The sequence below is a fragment of the Homo sapiens genome, chromosome 15 (genome assembly GCF_000001405.40).
Source record: "Homo sapiens chromosome 15, GRCh38.p14 Primary Assembly".
Classification (NCBI taxonomy): Eukaryota; Metazoa; Chordata; class Mammalia; order Primates; family Hominidae; genus Homo; species Homo sapiens.
The window spans coordinates 58519065-58539531 of NC_000015.10; the positions used below are offsets into that span (position 1 = coordinate 58519065).

The 20467-nt window shown below is 46.0% G+C and overlaps 1 protein-coding gene across 1 annotated transcript in view, besides 1 other annotated feature; it reads left to right on the forward strand.

Moving 5' to 3' along the window:
• Window positions 1-20467, forward strand: part of LIPC (lipase C, hepatic type) — a 137854-nt gene that overhangs the window by 87074 nt on the left and 30313 nt on the right. Inside the window, exon 2 of the mRNA NM_000236.3 lies at window positions 19269-19453. Within this exon, the coding sequence (NP_000227.2) occupies window positions 19269-19453 (185 nt within the window). The remainder of the gene's footprint in view (window positions 1-19268; window positions 19454-20467) is intronic.
• Window positions 2221-3420: an enhancer, noted in NCBI's record as "CDK7 strongly-dependent group 2 enhancer chr15:58813484-58814683 (GRCh37/hg19 assembly coordinates)". NCBI's record gives its function as "activates an origin of replication core promoter dependent on BRD2, BRD4, P300/CBP, MED14 and CDK7 cofactors, with strong dependence on CDK7, by STARR-seq in HCT116 cells {active_cell/tissue: HCT116}" and the evidence as "EXISTENCE:reporter gene assay evidence [ECO:0000049][PMID:35650434]".

Genomic DNA, 20467 nt, shown 5'->3' on the forward strand with positions numbered 1-20467 from the left:
CAGGGTATACAGGAAGTGCACAATAAGTATTTGCATCATTATAATTAACAGAACTACACTTCAGCCAAGCGCAGTGGCTCACGCCTGTAATCCCAGAACTTCAGGAGGCCGAGGCAGGCAGATCACGAGGTCAGGAGATCGAGACCATCCTGGCTAATATGGTGAAACCCTTTCTCTACTAAAAATACAAAAAAAAATTAGCCGAGCGTGGTGGCAGGTGCCTGTAGTCCCAGCTACTCGGGAGGCCAAAGCAGGAGAATGGCGTGAACCCGGGAGGCGGAGCTTGCAGTGAGCCGAGATTGTGCCACTGCACTCCAGCCTGGGTGACACAGAGAGACTCTGTCTCAAAAAAAAAAAAAAGAAAAAAAAGAACTACACTTCTAGCCAGTCAGGCAAAGCCAAGGATTAAGAGAGTTACTCTGAATTTCTCTGCTGCCCCCTCTGCCTCACCTCCCATGCATTGAACACAGAGTGTATATGTAAGTCCTCCCACCCCAACCATCAAGACAGGCACATCTGCCATTTTTCTCTGTCTTCTTCAGTTCCTTCCAGGTTCTCTCTGCCTTGCTTAGGAGCTGCCCCTGTTTGCAGAGCTCTTCATCAATAGACTGAATATTTACAGAATAGCGCAGTTTTGATTAAACAGTTCATTTCACTGGAGACTGGGGTGGTGTATTGTGTCTCCTCCGGAGTTATTCTTGGCATCAGCAGCCCTTGCTCTTAGCATCCGTTTCTTTACATTTTAAGGTGGAGCATAAGAAGAACTGCAGTGAAACAGATCAGATGGGGGGCAGGTGGGATTTCTCTTTACCTTTCCCCCGCTATTTCTTGGTGGATTTATCCCGTTATCTTCGCTGCTATTTGCTCCTTGCTATCTTTTATTCTTCTCTTTTGAAACTGGCCGAGTCAGAAGGAAATAAACAAATGCAAGGGTGCGTAGAAAGAGCATTAGATGGTAGGTCCAGAAACTTGGACTCTACATCCAGCATCTAGTGATGTGATTGATTGATATCTGTTTTAGCTTTTCGGCACCTCAGGTTTTGGGCTGTTTTTTTTTTGTTTTTTTTTTAATCTGTTAATTGAAGTGATTGGTCTAGATTTGTGGTCTTTGAATGTGTGTCAGCCATGGAAACCTTCCTACAAACAGAATCTCAAGCAGCAAATGTTAAAACCTAAAAGCAATTTTGTTTGGGTTGAAACAAGGTGGGCGGGCAGTCAGGAACCCACCCTTTTAACTTCTGTGTCCTCTGCCATCTCCTGTAGCAGCCCCCAAAGTAGTTCCACAAGATCCTTGGCCTTGGGATGCTAGAGCACAACGTCTAAACCATTCGATGTGCCTATTTAGAAACTCATTTCCTGCTCTTAAAGCGCTCAGCCCTCTCCCCTACACATAAAGCCTTGCCTCCATGAAAGCAGGGAGGACTAGCCTTCGAAACCCCAGCACACAGAGGTGAGTGTGAGCACAGCTCAACAGTATACAAGCCCGCTGGAAAGCTGCCCCAGACAGAATTTCCTCAGTTGCATCCTATGGACTATCAGTCCCAGAAACGCTTGGCCAAAAAAGGAAATACGGAGGGCGGGGGCAGCTTGCTTCAAAGTAATTGAGGTTGAGAGCCGCTGTATACCATCTGCCCCTTCTAGAGATTAAATTCACAGTAGCTTCTTCTCTCGGGCCAGCAGGAAGCCTGATTAATGCCGCTTAATACGACACTTCCCATATTTATTTGGCCACAAAACTCCTTTTTCCCCATAACTCCTATTAATATCACAGGAAACAGTTTGAGATCAGAAAAGCCTTCACAAAGGCAATTTTTAAAGACTGAGTTATAAGGCTCAAAATAAATGAGGAATTCTAGAAAAGGAAGGGAGGAGGGAGAAGGACACTGGTTTGGGGTCTGGAGGGCTTTAAGATGAGGGCGAAACAAGGACCACCCATGATTCCAAAGAATATCCGGAACTTGCTTGTTGTCTGTTGGTGCCTTTCTTTCAGCTCATTCCTAGAGGGCGGACAGAGGCAGGAGTTGCTGTGTTGCTGGCCAGTGGCTCCTGACCATAGGAAGGGGACTGTGGGTGTGAGAAGTAAAGCAGAGCAGGCCCCTGCCTCTGTTCTCCCCTTCCCCCTGGTATTGGCTCACCGTGACAAATCTTTCCCTAGGAAGGGCAGAAAATGAATTATCCTGTTAAATCAATTCAGCAGATAACCCACCTCTGTGCAGGCCTTGTGCTGGGACCACACAGATGCATAAGACACGTACAGCTTAGAGCCTAGTCATGAAATGGGAAATAAACAGCCCCATCCTCAAGGTCTGAACAGGGGATTGGGGAGCACAGAGAAGGGCCCCACCCCGACCAGCTGTCAAGAGAACTATCCATACATTCTAATTCCTCCAAGGTTGAGGGCTAAGGTGTAGGAAGAGGAGAGAGGTTCCAAGCAGAAGGAATTGCAGAAGCAAAGGCACAGAGGCATCCGGGACCTGCGAGCAGCTATGGCTGGAGCCGCGTGTCGCAGGATGGAGAGCGTGTGAACAGAGGGGACTGGAAGCGGATCCTCCCAGGAAGCAGTTGCAGGCGGTCATGCTACAGTGAGTTGCTGATAGTAGGAGGGGAAGAAAGAGGAAGGGGGAGTGGAAGATGACTCAGTGGGGGGTGAGCCAGTGCCTGGAAGAGAGGAATGTGTGAGCAGAATGAGGAAGTTAGCAAAAGCTGGTTGAAGGTAGGAGGTGGAAAGACAAGTTCAGCCCTCAACAAGTTAAGCAGGTTATATAAGAAGTCCAGGCATGGATGACGATGATCATAATCATGATGGGGAGGATGACAAAGATGACTAGGAACGCTCTGTCATCTCTCTCTCTCTCTCTCTCTCTCTTTCCTTCCTGGTTGTGTGAGTTTGCAGGGAGACGGGAGGTTGTGAAGAACAATAACCAGAAGAGAGTTTGCGTCTTCATCAGAAAGCACCTGGGGCAGGTAGAGTTGGTGCTAGCTTCTCCATCCATCCCTGACACCCCAGCCCCATTCATCATTCAGCAGAAGACAGGCTGGGCTGGCCCAACTTGGTCCTGTACCCCCACCACCCCAGAACCCCACTGGTCCATAGTGAGGATCCCTTCTCTTTGACTCTCCTCCTTCTCTGTGACTCGCCTAAGCCTGATCCTACACCTTCTCTCCCAGCCACTGCCTCAGCTTCCTCCACCCCCAGCTTGGGACGAGCCACCTCCCTGGCTGGGTAGCATGGGACAAGCCATCTCCCTGCAGAGGCAGAGAACCAGTGACACTACACGCAAACCAAGGCCATGCTGCAAACAGAACACCAAGGCACCCTCGTCTTAGGATGCATTATATTCGGGGTAGATGTTGAATTCTAGTAACACATTCCCTGGGGTGTTTTCAAATCCAGACACACTGGAGCCTTGTTCCAGCCTCACTGTGGGCGAAGGCCCCGGGCTCACCTCCAGCCTCAGGCTGGCTCTGGCTGCTGCCCCTGTTCCATCCTGGCAAGCGGAACTGAACAGGCCCGACTCCACAGCCCCCGGTGCTGCCAGCTGCAAGCTCTGCTGACTCCAACCTCAGGCCCCTGCGTGCCTGCTTCTAAATCCACACGTTCCTGCTCCTTCCTGCCCCTGCTGCCCTCTCAGAATGCCACTTCTTTCTGCCAAGACCTCAGGCATTGCTATGGCCCAGCCCCATCTTTATTGATGTCGGGGCTCTGTCCCCTTGCAGAGCCCATCCCATTGCCACCCACATCTGGGACAGCAAAAGACTTCTCAGTTTCCTCCAGAGTTCAGTTTCTTCCAAAAAGCTCGGCACATCTTAGCTGCCAGTGTGAACTGTGAGCTCCCAGAGATGCCCGTGGCACTTTCCAACATTCGTCACTTTTGACACATCTAAAATATCCTAGCTCCCAGAGCTGCGTGAGCACCAGCCCAGATGGACCGGCTGCTGGGGAAGCATCAGTCTCTCCAGGGCCTCTGTGAAGCCCTGGGGCAGTAGGGGGATGTCTGACAAAGCTTCCTAACTGAGGAGCCCCACTTCCTCTCGCTCTGGGCACCCCTGCCAAATGAGCGGGCACCTCTATGTTCCAGCAGCCCTCGCTGCCCAGCTTCTGAGCTGCAAGCCAGCTTCCTTCCACAGAATTCTCTGCACCTTGGCTTCCGGTGGCTCCAAGCACTTTGCCATCTGCCGAGTCAGTTCTGCCAGAGATGAAGCAGCTGATGTGGGGAGTTCTCTGTGGGGGCCACCTTTCCTCTCTCAGGTCACCTTTACTCTCAGAAGGAAACTGACCCCCTGACCTATTAAATAGCTGAAATCAAGGGCCACTAGGACCCAAGTCGGTGAAGGTGCAACTGAAGGCAAGAAGGTCAGCATCTAGCTAGACAGACACGTAAGCCAAGAAGACAGACGAGGTGAGTGGACCCTTTGACTCCACAGTCAGACAGCAAGAGAGCTACTCCCAGAGTTCTCTGGGGCATGAAGGGGCTGCAGGGGTAGGTGAACAGCATCCAGAGAAATAGTTATCATGGAAAGTGCAAGCAGGAAACAAGCTGGGATTTTTTTTTTATTTAAAATTATTTTTCAGGCCAGGCACAGAGGCTCACGCCTATAATCCCAACACTTTGGGAGCCCGAGGCAGGAGGATCACTTGAGGCCAGGAGTTTGAGACCAGCCTGAGCAACACAGTGAGGCCCTGTGTCTATGATAAATAAATAAATAAATAAATTAGCTAGTGGAGCAGGGCTGGTGGCATGTGCCTGCGATCCCAGCTACTTGAGAAGCTGAGGAGGGAGGATCGCTTGAGCCCAAGAGGTCAAGGCTGCAGTGAGCTACGATCACTACACTCCAGCCCAGGCAACAGAGCCAGAACTTGTCTCTAAAAATACAAAGAAATAAAAGAAAAGAAATTCTTTTAAGGAAGTAAATACTAACATGGCTCAGAAATTAAAAGAATGTAAAATAGAATAGATTTGCAAAATCTCACCCCCATCCCACGATGTCCATATCCATTCCCTCCTCCCCCTTTCCCACCATGGGTAACCACTTATATTCATCTCATCTGTATCGTTCCAACATAACCTTACGCAGCTGAAAGCCAACATGGAGTTATTTACTTATGCCCCCACCCTTCCACAAAAGTATCACACTTTAGATACTGTTCTGCACCTTACTTTGGCAACTCAGCAGTACATTCTAGAAATCTTTTCAAATCAGTACAGAGTGTTTCTTTAGTCAAGCTGCAAAGTATTCCATTGAGGGATATGTCCCCGTTCAGTTATCTAGACACTAGATGGACACTTGGGATGTTTCCAGTATTTTACAATTACAGACAATCCTGCAATGAATGACCTTGCATTAATTTCATTTCGTAAGTGTGCAGATATAGCCACAGGGTAGAGTCCCATGCAGGAAATGCTGAGTAAAGAGAAAATGCATTTGTAACTTTCATAGCTGTTGCCAAATCCCTCTCCATTGGAGTTGCACCATTTTGCATTCCTGCCAGTGTCTCCATCAAGGTGTGTGGTCACACTTTTTAATGTTTACCAATCTGATGGTTGAGACTTGTGTCTCAGTATATATTTACTTTGTATTTTTCATCTTAGGAGTGAGGTTGAGGATCTTTTCATATGTCAAAGGGCCATTCATATTCCTTTTTCTGTGAAACGGCTCCTCATGTCCTTGGTTGGCCCATTTTTTGTTCTGTGGGTTGCTGTCCTTGGTCTCCTTGATTTCTAGGCATTCTATAGATATCGGGGATATTCGCCCTTTGTGTTATGAGTTGCAATTATTTTTTCTCACTTTATTGTTCATTTTTTGCCTCTGCTTATGGTCTTTTTTTAATTTAGTTGGTCATACAGAAGTTTTTTGTTTGCTTTAATGTAGTCTAATTTAACAATCTTTTACAGCTTCTGAATTTTGAATCACAGAGGGAGATTCTTATTCAAAAGGTTATCAAGGAATTAGCCCATATTTTTTTTCTGGTCATTTTATGATTCCTGTTATTTCATTTAAAAATTGGATCCATTTGGAGTTTTTCCTGATGTATGATGAGAGGTATGGACCAAACTTATAACTTTTCATCTTTTTCCAGATCTCCCAATACTATTTTTTAAAGTCCATCTTTACCCCAGCACTTTGAGAAATTAGATTTCCACTGCCCAGAACAACCTGGCCAATTTGAGAAGTCACTTCTATCAAATACTGAATGCAAACATATGCATTTGAGTGTTCTGGGTTTCTATTCTGCTTCTTTATCCAAGCTCCTGTATACACAGCTTGAATTACTGAATCTTTACGGTACGTGTTAGTATGAAATAGGACAAATCTTCCCCCATAGTCCTTTTTAGTTCAGAGCTCCCCTGGCCATTTACTGGCAAGCTGAGCTCTGTCACTGGGGCTCTCCTTGCTCACTGTCATGTTTTATTCTCTTCTCTCCTACAAGGAGGCCAATATATGCCTGCAGGCATCCAACCAGGGAAAGAGGCAAGCACAGCCCACTCCCCAAACAAGGCAGAGGCAGGGGTGCAAGGCCTTCTGGGAGAGTCCCAGTAGGCCATGTCTATGTACCCCTTTGAGGCCGGTGTTCTGGGGAAAGGCCAAATAGGAGACCTATGTCTTCCTGGAGGTTTGGACTTTGCCCTGAAGATTCTCAGCACTGATCTTCTGGTCCATCCAATCTGTTTAAATGAGGGTGATCCCAGATAACCTCAACATAAAGAGTTATCCTGTCTGATATTCTGTCTCCTCATGATCTGTTACTGATCAGGTGCAGAAGAACCCTTCAAGGAGGAAGATGTTACAATAGCAATATCAATGCCTACTTCTACTACCACCAATGCCACCAGGGCCACCTTTATTCATTGAGAACCTGCTATATACCAGGCATTGTGGGAGGTACTTTACACGTTTATCTCATTCACTTACAACCCCATGAGGAAACCATCTGTAAACGTGCCCAGAATTGTGGCTCATTAGCGGCAGAGCCAAGCTTTGGATCCCAGCCTGGTTCCAAAACTCATACTCTTCACCACTGGGCAACTTCTTCTCAGAATGATCTGCCACCCTGGGATGATGCAAATTCCCAGGCCTCCCAGACCTACTGAATCAGCTGCTCTGGGAATGGCACCCAGGAGTCTGCATCTCCAGCACATGAATACATGAGAACCACTGCTCACAAATGTAAAAAGTTAGGTAATATATCAGGGAGGCTGTGAGGATGAGTGTTTCCTTAGCAGTGGTGTAAGGGCAGAACCCTGGCTGGAGTGTTTTGCAGTCAGACTGATTTCCTCATTAGCAGAGAGTGTTAACCGGTAGCCTAGTTTGGCTCCTCGAGGTGCCTGATTCAGACAGAGCATCCCACAGCTGGAGCACCCTAGCTGGTGGAGGTAGGGACTCAGCCAAGTAGGCTCCAGAGCTGCCACCTAAGCCCAGTAGATTTCTCTTGCCCAGAACAACCTGGCCAAATGGAAGATGGGAGGCTGAAATCCTCACTCCAAGGAGGGGCCTCCTTTTCTTGGCACAAAGGCACCGCGCCAAGCTACACAGCTAAGGCAGTGTGCTACCTAAAGCAGGTGCACAGAATTCACAGAGAGGTACCAAATAGGCTGGCAAAGACCTTGGTGGATAAGTACCCACAAATATCTGGAAGGAACTATGTTGGGTTGAGACATGAGAAGGAAGAGATCTTAGGCAAGTTTGGAAAGGGAAACAACACATTGAATGCCAACCCCTGGACTAGATATTTCATCAACTTCGTTCATCCTCACTACCACCCACACAAGACGGTCTTCCTATTTCCAACTTAGAAGAAGGAAGTTGAGGCTCCTACTGGTTAAGCAAGCTTCCCAAGGCCATACAGCTAATAAGTGTTAAACAATCAAACACAGAACTGACTGGCTCCAAAGCCAGTGCCCGCCCCACTGGCCACTCCACTACCCTGCCTCTGCCATTGCTCCCTATGGCAACCTGGAAACTGTCGGGTACCTGCCCGTGGTCTGAAGTGGGCAGGCAGCAGTCAGCTGGGCCTCCAGATATGGGTGGTGAAGGGAGGATACAGGTCCAAAAGAATATCTTAGGGGAAATAGTGCACATGCCCAGAAAACTTTTATAGTCTCAGAACTTAGATGTGCGGAGAAATCGAATTCTGGTCCTGGTTTGCTTTTTTAGCCAGTTGTGGGCCTTGGCAGTCACTGAACCCCTCCTTATTTCTTCATGAGGAAATTAACATGCCTAGGATAGGAACCGCTGTGCTGCAGACCCCAGGGTCAGGCAAGTCTCAAAGAAGATGAGAGTCACCAAGCGCCTCAGGAAAGCTGAAGGGCACAGGGTGCATGCTGCAGCCATGACCTCAACCTCTGTGAGTCTAGAGGTGACCATATTGGCCACACATAAGCTCACCTTCCCCCTACATTTCATAATCCTTCCCTCCCATCAGGGCCAGCCTTTGATTAAAATTCCCAAGATTATCTGAGGAGCTGGCGGTACCACCCACCAATGGAGTTCATCTGGCTGCCTTTACACCAGCCACCTTATGGCTGGGTGGGCACTTTCCTATTCTTCGGCCAACACAACACTTTCCAAACTGTGTGACAGTTGTTTATTTACTTGCCTCTACCATAAGACCATGAGCTTTTTGAAAGCATGGTCTGTCTTATTCACTGTTAGGTATCACAGTGTATTCACAATCCCTGACACATAGTAGGTGCTTAATAAATGTGTGGTTGAATGAATAAATGAATTAATGAATGAATGAATGAATGAATGGGATCAGGGTGGGCCTTCAGTCTCTAAAAGCATACCCAAGAGCCAGCCCTCTCAGCCGCAGGTCCGCACATGGGGAAGCCCTAGGGAGGTTCAAGGACTAGATCAGGCCCATTTTCTCATCAGGCAGCCCCCAAACCTCTGCCCCAAAGAGCACATCCAACATGCTTTCAGCCCACACTCCCCACCCACGGTTTACTGCCTGTAATCCCAGCTACTCGGGAGGCCGAGGCAGGAGAATCGCTTGAACTCGAGAGGCAGAGGTTGCAGTGAGCCGAGACCACCCCATTGCACTCCAGCCTGAGTGACAAGAGCAAAACTCTGTCTCAAAAAAAAAAAAAAAAGAATAACCTTGGGCTGTTTGGCCAAGTTAATGCTTAATGCTTTCCTCATGCTGCAAGCGTTTATCTTTGCCCAGATTCCAGCTCCAGGGAGGGGAACATTCCTGCAGAACAGCCAGGCGTTCCCAGGTCACCTCTGCTCTCACTCTCACTTTTCTTTTTGCATGATTAAATCCGGCCTAAAAACACGTCTCAGGGGCACATATCTGTCACTCATAATAATCCTATAAGGTAGGTACTACTGTTAGTCTTATTATATAGTTGAGACACAGAGAGGTTAAATAACTAGCCCAAGGTCACACAGTTAATAAGTAGCAGAGCTGGGATTTAAGCCAGGCAATCTGGCTCCAGAGCTCGGTGCCTTTTTTTTTCTTTGACAGGGTTTGGCTCTGTCACCTGAGCTGGAGTGCAGTGGCACAATCACTGCTCACTGCAGTCTCGACCTCGCTCAGGTGATCCTCCCACCTCAACCTCCCAAGTAGCTGGGACTACAGGCACGCACCACCATACCCAGCTAGAGCCCAAGCTCCTAACCGCTTCTGCTGTGCAGTAACAAGCCACGCTCAGGGCATGGGCCCAACTTGAGTTTCTTCCATCCACGGGTCCAGACTGGAAAGGAAGCAGCAATCTTCTCTTCTTTTCTCACTGAGTATAAGGCACCCAATTCATCTTCTGGCAGCTGACCTGGAGGACGGAGTGGCCCTGATTTTCCTTTTACAGGTACAATCACTGCCAATACTAAAGCAGTGCCTGTCCCTACCTGCCAGGGCACCCAGGATCCTTGTCTCCAGCAGTAACTTCATGAGGTAGGTGGCTCTGGGCTGAGACAGGACTTGCATATTCCTAGATCCCTTGACTGTGATGTCGAAGGTCCTCTGCCCCCACCCCTCCTTCTATTCCTTGTAAGCTTCACTTGGCAATTGTGTAGTTTATGTCTGGTACAGGAATGAAGGATAAGGTCAAATGAAGCTCAAAGCCAGGAGCTAGATAGTCATGATATATCAAATAAAGTTTTGGAACAAGAACACAATGGGATTAATTTGCCAATCAAAACAGCGCTTGGCAACTTGACTGTAAGCCAAGATCTCTCATGGCAAGAGCAGCTGAAGGGCCTGTGATTGTCCAGCTCCTGGGGAGCCTCCCTGGCCTAACCGTGGTCAGATGCCAGCATCACAGCCCCCTTAGCTGGGTAAGGATTCTCCTAGTGCTACCTCTGGGAGAGAAAGAAAAAAATCTAGTCTGAGAATGACACCAGCAGACAGCAGCTCTGCCAGGTGTTTGAAGGGTGAAGGTCATGGGACTCTGTTTTTACTACCCTGGTCACCCCAATTGTTTCGGGGTATTTTCCATAGACAAGAGGATGCCCCAGTCAGCTGTCTTCCGTGATTCAAGACCCAGTCTACTGTCTTCTGTGATTCAAGACCTGTTTCCTCTTGTGCCGATCAGAGGCCTTATTTGGAGGCATCGGCCTTTATGTGGCATGGAATGTAAGCCCTCTGAGCTTTAACAGAGATAGGAAGAGTCCTAGAACATGGCAGGGAAGAGGGTCGGAACCTCTGTCCTCCAGCACAGTAGAAGGATGCTGGCTTGAATGTCAGGAGAGCCCAGAGTTTCTACCTGGATGCATGGTTTGGGGCATGTCAGGTGGCCTTTCTGGGTCCCAGTTTCTTCAACTGTGACATAAGGAAGGTAGACTAGATCATCACTACCAATAAAAGGTCCCTGGTCCTTGGGGAGCAGTGGTTGGAGTGGGAGAAGGGCATCGCCCAGCTATTTTCCAACACATCGTAAAAGATATCGCACAGGACAACTGAATGTTGACTTGGTTTGCTTACCTGTGGAATTCTATCCACTTGGTGTGGTAAAACGGATTCTCGCCAGAGAACTGGAAGTGTAGATGGGTGGTGTTACCTATATCCTTGATTGATAAGAGAAGGAAAATGAATTTTTCCTCAATAAGTACAGGTTGTTTGAAATGCAGGCTGGGTGCAGCGACGCTGCATGGTCTCCAGGCGCCTTGTGTTTCTAACCCTCTTGCTGGACAACTTGGCCTCCACAGGGTAGTCCCCAGGGAACCCTTGGCCATCTCCGGCCTGAAGGAATCAGGGAAGACCTTCCGGACATGCCAAGTCTCCCTGAGACCCTGCTCCATGAGGGCTGGCTCCCTCCCCGACCTGGTCTTTTGGTTCAAAGTCAGTCCTGGAGTTATGTCTGCCAATTGACCCCAACCTCCAGAAAACTCAGAAACAGCCTGTCCTCTCAGGCCTGCAAACCAGGAGCAGCCAGGCCCAGCCCTGACTTATGCAAGTAACTACCACAGAAGGCCTGCTGTGCAGCCTATGCCGCTCAACCTGGATCAAGGGCAATGTGGAGAAACCACATTATTGCTTGACTATAGTGCAGTATTCCAACAATCATTTTAAATGTGCACTTGTGTAACCATGATCACCATCAAGATGTAGGATATTTCCATCTCTCTTTAGAGATTCCCTTTTGCCCTTTGCTAGTTAATCCCCACCCCATTCCCTGGACCCAGGAAATCACTGATCTGCTCTCAATCACAATAGCTTTGCTTTTCCAGAACGTCCTGTAAATGGAATCACACAGTTTGTACCCTTTTAAATCTAGCTTCTTTCACTTAGCTTTATGCATTTTAGATGTATCCATGTTCTGGCATGTGTCAGCAATTGTTCCTTTTTCCTGCTGAGTAGTATTCCATTGGATGGATATGCGACAATTTGTTTATCCATTTACCAGTTGATAGATATTTGGGTTGTTTCAGATTTGGGGTTATTATGAATAAAGCTGCCATGAACATTTGAATATTTATGTGGACATATGTTTCCATTTCTCTTGAGTAAACGCTTGAAGTTTACTGGGTCCTATAGTAAGTGTACATTTGCCTTTAAAGAACTTGTCAAACGGTTTTCCAAAGAAAGTATTTTTTGTTCTCACCAGCAATCTATGAGGAGTTCTACCCGGTTTTGTCAGTCTTTTTAATTTTAGCCATTCTAAAGGGAGAGAAGTGATATTCCGTTGTGTTTTAAATTTGCATTTCTCCCATGACTAATGATGTTAAGCACATTTTCTTGTACACATGTGCCCTTTGTGTATCTTCTTTTAAGGATATCTGTTCAGTTCTCTCACCCTACCTTGAACCTACACAGGGTGGAATGTGCCTATGACCTCGGAAGGACTTTAGGGAAGCAAGCCCCACTTTCCCCAGAGAGGATTCCAGTACAAACGGAAAGCTCTTCTGAATGGCATACTCTTTCATAACCAGATTTCTTAAAAGAAAAAAATCATTCTGATTCTAGCCTGAAGTGCAGTAGAATTCAAGAGAATTTAAGAGAAAAGTTTAGAAGGAAAAAATTTTTGGCAAGAAAAAAGACTCTACTTACTTTTTTCCCTGGGATCCACAAAAGAAGAAGTTGTGGCCTCAGGCTACAGTAGTATGGAGCCAAAATGGACTCAAAAAAAAAAAAAAAAAACCCCAGAATAAATCAGACATGAAAATAACTTTCCTTCCATCCCGTATCTCATTTTCTTATTTGACAAAAAAATAGTAAAGAGCAACTACAACAACAAAGAAGAGGTGAAACAAGAATGCAAAAAATGATGGGAAGATGGCAACCTCCAAAATGTAATAAATTAATTTCAGCAGCTTTAAACCTAAAGCTATTTGTAAAGAATAGCTAGAAAAGAAACCCACTCAAGACAAACTTAGGAATTTCTTCTGAGTTCAAAACAATATCTTAATGACCTGAAAAATTACCACGGCTTTACAAAGCACCTCATTCACTCCTTAGGAGTGAATTATACCTTGGGTAATTGAGGTTCGACATTATAGTGAAGTGATGCTAGGGTGTCACAAGAGGTGAAGGACAATACAAAGTTTAGTAACTATTGTGCACATTCAGAAATTGAGACACAGAATTACTTTCAAGAAAAAAGTAAATGGGAGGGTCAGGTGTCCAGGTCAGGGCAAAATTCAAGATGGTGGGAGTGGGAGAAACATTCCTCACCATGGCCTTGGGCAGAATCTGCTTATCTCCAGACAAAGCTCAGCAACAGCTAGGAGCTGAATCTGTAAGGTCCAGCAGTGACTAAATTCCCACACAAATGTTTCCATCTTTCCATCGTGCAAGAAATTCTGAAGCCAACATTGCCCAGCTACAGATCATTGGCCTGACCACAGAAGCCAGGGACAGAGCTGCGGTTACATTTATTACATAGGATTGTTCCATCCTGAGCAGAGTACATGGCCTGGAGAGTTTTCAGGGCAATTATGAAATTTCGGTCTTCCAGAGGACCCTTGCCAGGTCTAGGAATATTTTCAGCAGTGGATGTTTACAAAGCAAAAGCCCCCCTACACACACATTAGCAAATTAAATAATGCATGTTGTATGAAAAACCTTGTGAGGGGCATAGCAATACCCGAGGCTTCTTTCTTATGCACTTGTGTGCCCAGTACCAGCCAATACATGGAAAGGGCTCAACAAACACTGAACTGAGCAACAGCTTCTAGCCCAGGCATCATGGGCGGGAGGCAGATCCTGACTCCAATCGGGCCTCCTATGGTAGAATCCCTGGTTCTCTCCCATGGAAGGTGCCCCACCTCAATTGCCTGCAGTCACCCATCTGCTGATGTCCTTACCCAAAAGAAAATGAAATAATTTCTTCTTGTATGAAATATCAGGAACCCTCAAACCTAGGAGTTAACTAGGAATAGAAAAATCACTTGCTGTAAGAAATAATATTAGAAATGTAATGGCTGGACCCAGCTTCTCCTTCTAACTAATTTTAAGGATTGTTTTGCTGCTCTAGGAACTTACTGTCATACAGAGGACAACCCCAAGCCTCCCTAGTCCATCAACCCCTTTTCCTGGATACAGGGGCTGAATCCCTTGATGGATTTGATCACTTACCTCAATTTAATATTCCTCCTCCTAAAACCACAGTATCATCCCCAGATTCTTATCACTGGTGTGACTACCTCTTCTGAAGACATGAGAAAAGCTCCAGTTTCAGAAGGTATGCTTGGAGAATGTGCTGCTTCTAGCTTATCCAATATGGAACCAATTTCTTCACTCATAGCTAAAGCATATCCTTTCCTCACAGCTTATCATAGAGTGGCCAGGTTTAAATGAGTCAATACAAATAAGACTGCTGGAAAAGTGCCTGGCACAGAGAAAGCATTCAATATATATCAGCTTTTAAAAATGCTGAAGATCAATTTGAATATATATGTATATATAAAGAGATATAAATAGGATCACACGTAAGGAACTGATTCTACTTTTAGGAAACTACACTAAGAAAATACTAATAGATTCCGATAAATATTTATACATAAAGAATATCATCAGAGAATTGTTTGTAATAGGGCAAATAAAACCTTGAAACAGCATACATTTTCAACAATAGTGGAATAAGTAAATAAATTACGGCACTTTTTCCAAGTACGTTTTGAAGAATTTTTGATGCTATGAGAAAATGATAATGATAAGTGAAGAAGGATTTAAAACCATTTATGTAACATGATCTCAATTATACACACTGTAAATAAGAATCTATGGAACAAATATCTCCATAAGAAAACATTATGAAGATATACTCCAAATGTTATTTGTGTTTTTTTCTAAATAATAATATTCTTTATTTTTTCAGCACTTTTCAAATTATACTGAAATATATTTTCAGCATACATACAATGAGCATCCCTTAATTCTACAAAAAGCAAAATAAAATATGAAACAGTTAAAAGTCTATTGCAACACTATAATTTGAAGGGGAAAAAAAAGGCTAAGGACATACAGTAGGCCACTGGGCAGACAAAGGAGATCATTCTGAGCCTGAGTCCTCAGTATTTGGTGACCCAGTAGAGAGGCAAGAGAGGGCATAAGCTCTAAGCTTTCCACCTTGGGCATAGAGATGAATGACGGTGTTATGAACCACAATAGGAAACGTAGGAAGAAAGGAAGAAGAATGGGTTGGGAGGAAGGAAAATACATTTAGTTTGGCCTTGCTGAGTCTGTAGTGCCCAAAGAGTACCCAGGCAAAGATGCCCAGTCGAGAGCTGGTGATGTGCAAAGCTAAAACTTGTAGGAAGAAACTGCAGTAAAGGTATGAGGGTGGGCACAGCAGTGAGTCCTTGAAGCCACGGGCTTCCCTTAGGATGCCCAAGTGTCCTAAGTGTTCTAGGAATAAGCGACAGACTCTGATCTCATGGAGGCTCAGACCCCTGGGCTTCAGGGCTCTATTCCTTCCACCCCTAAATGTGACCTGAAGTGGCCCCTGCCTCCCTCAGTCCTAGAGGCTGCTGCTCAATTACAGTGAAGAATCTCTTATAGACTCACGGTGACTTAAACGCTATTTGGTGCTGTGGCTGCTATTTCACTGAAGATTACAGGGCTCTCAGAGTTAACCACATAAAACTTGCTGCTATATATTTGTAACCTCCTTTTTCAATAACACATAGGGAAACCATCTTGGGTTTCAGGACCAAAAAAGTGTGAGTGCCTGGCCACCAGGAATGCTATAACTGATCCCGCTTCCCTCTTTGATGTGGCCAAAAAGAAGCTCAGAAAAAAATCTGTGGCCCATCTTCAGCAGCCTTATAAGATCACATAGTGTACATTTTTGGGTGTTAATATTGACATTCCTATCTTTATTGTTTTACTGCCCTTATTTTCTCTTTGTCCCAAGTTCTTCAACTATGAATTTTTGCCAACTACTTCAAGTTAAAAATGTTCTTCCATGTCATGCCCACCCAGTGATTCTGTTTGTTTCTACCTCTTGAAGTTACACAAAATAAGTCTAGTCTACCTTCTCCACAACAGCCCTTCAACTCTCATGTCATCCTCCCAATCTTATTTTTATAGGCACCAGAGCCCCACTTTCTTTAACAATTGCTCGTGGATATGAGCTCTTAAAGAGTCTTTCCTCCATCTAGACTTGACTGATGCTTTATCTTCTCTCGACCTCTTCCCTAAAGCCCCTACGCAGGGCATTCCTCCGCTGCAACACAGCAACCACTTTTAATAGTTGCTTTTCAAGCTTGCATCCCCCACCCCACCATGGGGCTGGGGACTCCTGAAAGGAGCCACATGCTGTCTTTGCCTCCAACTAGTACCTAGCCAGGGGGCCTGGGGCATAATACATGCTTAATAAGTGTTTGTTGAGGAAGTGAATAAATGAATGAGCACATACCTGTATACAGTATACAGCTTCCTCGCTCATACACATGTTAAAGAGAGCTAAAGCCTCCGGGAAGGGAGAAAAGAGAGGGCCCTGTTCAGTCCAGTTGTTTGTGGGGCTTTCCATCTGACAACTGTTTTCCATGGTCTCTCCTGAACAGCCTCGAAGCCTCAGCCACCTGGGCTGGAGCGTATCTCACAGCTAAATCCAGAGTAAATATACACAAGACAGAATTGGTCCTATGAGGACAACTGGGGTGAATTTCCACAGAAAGAAAGGATTTCACTGATCAGAAATGTAAGATGCTAGATGCTCCAATTGGTACTTATTCTAACAACGCTCTCTTCTCTAGGTTCTAATTACATGTCAGGCATTGTTCTGAGCTCTTTACAAATATCTTATTTAATCCTCCTAACAACCTCATAAGATAGGCACTATTTTTATCCCCATTTTATTTTCATATGACCCTCTTAACATTTGAGGCAGCTATCCTAAAATGAAGAAAGGTGTAGTGTTTCAGTCTCTGAATAAAAGAAAATGAGCTACATTAGGTCCAATGTATAAATGGCTGAAGATTGAGTGCCAGCCTTTGATCCAAGATCTGGATCTGGCAGGACACCTCACCGCTCACTAACATTTATTGAGCACCCACCATTGTGCCCAGGGCTACCCTCCATGAGTTCGCTGACAGGTGGAGGAAGCACACACCTGGATAAATAAATCACCCCGCTGCAGGGCAAGTGTATTAGGATCAGGGAGGCAGTACGGTGCTGAGAGCAAGAAGGAGTAATTATCTCTGACTAGATGAGAAGGCTTCCTGGAGGCTGTGAAGTCTCAGTTCCATTTTAATGAATGGAGCAGCAGAGACAGAGCAGGAGGTGAGGTGCAAAGGTACCGGCATCCAAAAGGGCATTTGGGAACTGTTGGTAGCAGGAGAACGAAAAGAGAGGAGGAGGTGGGGGATGAGGGATCATCACTCAGGTGGTGGCCTTGGCTGCAATACCATGAAGCTGAAAGTCACTAACAGGTATAGTCATTTCTGTTTTAGACTCTTTGAGCAGCTGTGTGCAGGAGGACAGAGAGACCAAGCAGAGAGAGACCAGTTAGGAGGCTGCTGTAATAAACCAAGCAAGACACAGTGTGCACGGGAACTAAGGCACAGGATTCTAGGGATATTTAGGAAACCTGAAGCTTTGGACTGATCGAGAAGCTGGCATAGCAGTGCAAGGTGACACCCCGGCTTCTGACTTAGACAGGAGGGCAGCCAGTGAAATCAGCAGGCTAGGTTGGAAGCAGGCTTCCAGGAGTGAGGGCAAGCTGAGACTCTCTATAAGCTCAGAAAAGCCAAAGAGAGCGGCAGAAATTTTCTTCATTATCTCAGAAAAGTTATTCAAATTCTTGCTCACACCTCCTTTTAATAAAATATGATGCATTTCATTCTGTCTTCATAGTGAAAAATCATTGCCCTTTGCTGAGAATTAATAACCTTTTGAGTTAATACCCTTTGGGTAGGAAAATTGGTTTCATTAACACCTCCCCTTGCACTTTGTAGGTTCATCATCTCTTGGTCCTGCTGTCCCCTGAAACCAAAAGCCCAAGACATATTATTTGAGAAGCCTGAATGATTTTATTCTCAGAAAGAATGATCAGGGTCCTTATTAAATGGGCTGAATTGAGTTCACTGACCAAAAAGGTCAGAGCGGCCTTGTGTCTGCTCCTCAGCCGCAGGGGAGCCCACCTTCTACCAGAAGGAAGGGATGAGAGCTTCCTCTCCCAGCTCTTGGCCTGATCCCTAATCTTGGCAGAAAAGATGCGCCCATCTTGACATGCCACGCCATGGAAACGCGCCACCTTGCCAGGCTCTACCAGGCCTCTTGGCAGAGGTGTCCGTCTCTGGTGCAGCACCACAGACAGGACAGCTGTCGGGCTGCCTGGCAGAGTTGGATGGCCACTCACCCACCCCTCCAAAGTGGCTCATGGTCATAGTGAGGCTCCCCCAGAAGAGAGGCTGGAAGGCCCTTCGGTCAAACAACAGAAGGTGATATGTTAAAAACAATCTTCCTCTCCTTTTCCACCTCCCACGGCCTTGGAAAGCCTCCGAATGGACATTCCTCTACTCTTTTCTGTTGCAAACTCTTTAGCAGCAGCCTGGCATCTGGAGCATGAAGCCAGACTCTTCAGCATCCCAGGGCCCTCCATGCTCTGGCCTGCCTGGCCTTGTCTCCTGCCTCTTTATGTATGCAAGGTTGCATGCCTGTGAGCCTCGACTCATGTTGCTCCCTCAGCCACCCCTGACCCCCGCAACAAAACACACACACACACTCAATCATCCTGCAAGGCCAGGGTCAACATCACATTCCCTGAAAAGCCCTCCCTGAATGCCACACCCTCCCTCAAGCGGCATCCACTACTCCCTCTGTGATTCCCCCAACCCTGCCCCACACTCACCCCTGTACCTTGTCCCTGCAAGGCTTACCTGATATAATCTGTCTGCACGTGAGGACAAGTTGAGCCTCAGGAGCTAATACATAGTGTCACCCAGCTAAGATGCTCTATTCACTGTCTCTCTAGGTAGGGATGTAGGGATGAAATTGGAGACAGCGACACCTGGGTTCAAATCCTGTCTCTATCAGTTTTTGGCAGTGTGATTTGGGGTGAGGTGCTTATCCACCGAGCCTCCAAAACTGCCTTGCCTATATTCCTTATGACCTAGAGGGTGACTCTAGTGCTTGATTGGCTGGTCACTGGGATAACAGGCTAGAGGATCTGGTGATCTCAACCTCCTAGGCCACCCTCCATCACTTGGCCATTCCACTGGAAACAGTCTTTGGGGCTCCCCACAGTTGTGGCTCATTCTGATCTCCAGCATCTCCCAGTAACCTCTTTGGCTTGTGCTTGTAGAAGCAGCCTTTGAGAAGACGGAGGGCTTCAGATGAAGCAGATGCCAGGCTAAGCACCGTCCCCAATCTTATATTGCAGAGCCATTTGGAAGAAGAGCTCAAGCTGTTGAAACAAACAAAACGCTGCATGAGATGAAGACCAGATTCCTGCTCTTTGGAGAAACCAATCAGGGCTGTCAGATTCGAATCAATCATCCGGACACGTTACAGGAGTGCGGCTTCAACTCCTCCCTGCCTCTGGTGATGATAATCCACGGGTGGTCGGTAGGAAATGCTGACATGCCGTTTTTCTCTCCGATTTCACATTTTCTTTTTTTCTTTCTAGCGTGTTCATGTTCATAAAAAGATAGGGAGCTGGTGATAACAACTCCATGCATAATGTTTATGAAGCACGTTCTAATTTTCCAAGTGCTTCCCCACGCATTAGCTCATTGATTATCTCGATTCCATGAGTAAGCAGCGTGAGAAAATATAATTATCTCCATGTTTCAGATAGAATGTGGCTCAAAGAGGCCACACAGCCCATTGGGGCCCACAAGGGATTGCAGTCCGTGCAGGAAGAAGCCTCCTTCCTGAATCTGCATGTTACACACAGGGGGACATAGGAAGCCAGAAGAATGGACTCCCAATGAAATGTTGTATCAGCAAGGTTTAAGTTCAGCAGCAAATAACAGAGACTCAAATTAGCAGTGGTTCAAAGAAAACAGAAATTTGTTTTCATTTCGCAAAATATTCCAAAGATATATGTAACCCAAAAACCGGCTAGACAGCTTTGGTCAGTGAAGTCCTCCAGGCCCCAGCTCCTTCCAGTTCACTGCTCTGCCATCTTGGGGTGTGACCCTCATCCTCATAGTCCAAGATGGCAGCTAGAGGACTAGCCATCACATCTTTATTCCAGGAAGCACAATGTAGTAAAAGATGTACACAAAGGAGTCAAAAGCAAGGTTTTTACAAGAGCTTTATTGAGATATAATTTACAAAGCGTACAACTTATCCATTTCAAGTTTACACAATTCAATGGCTTTTGGTATAAAAGAGTGTTTTTTAGGTGTCCCAGAGCCTCTGTGAAATTCTCCCAGTTACATCCATTGACCATATCTAAGTGGAAAGGTGGCTGAGAAGTATAGGCTGTTAAAGAAAATGTAGCCTTTTAGTGATGCTAAAAATTCTATTACTATGGAAGAAGGAGAGAAAGGATATTATTGGCAATAGATGAAGTCAAACCATGTGAGAACTTGTCTCCAAGAGGAAATCCTGCCTCCCCAGTGTCTAGCCCAC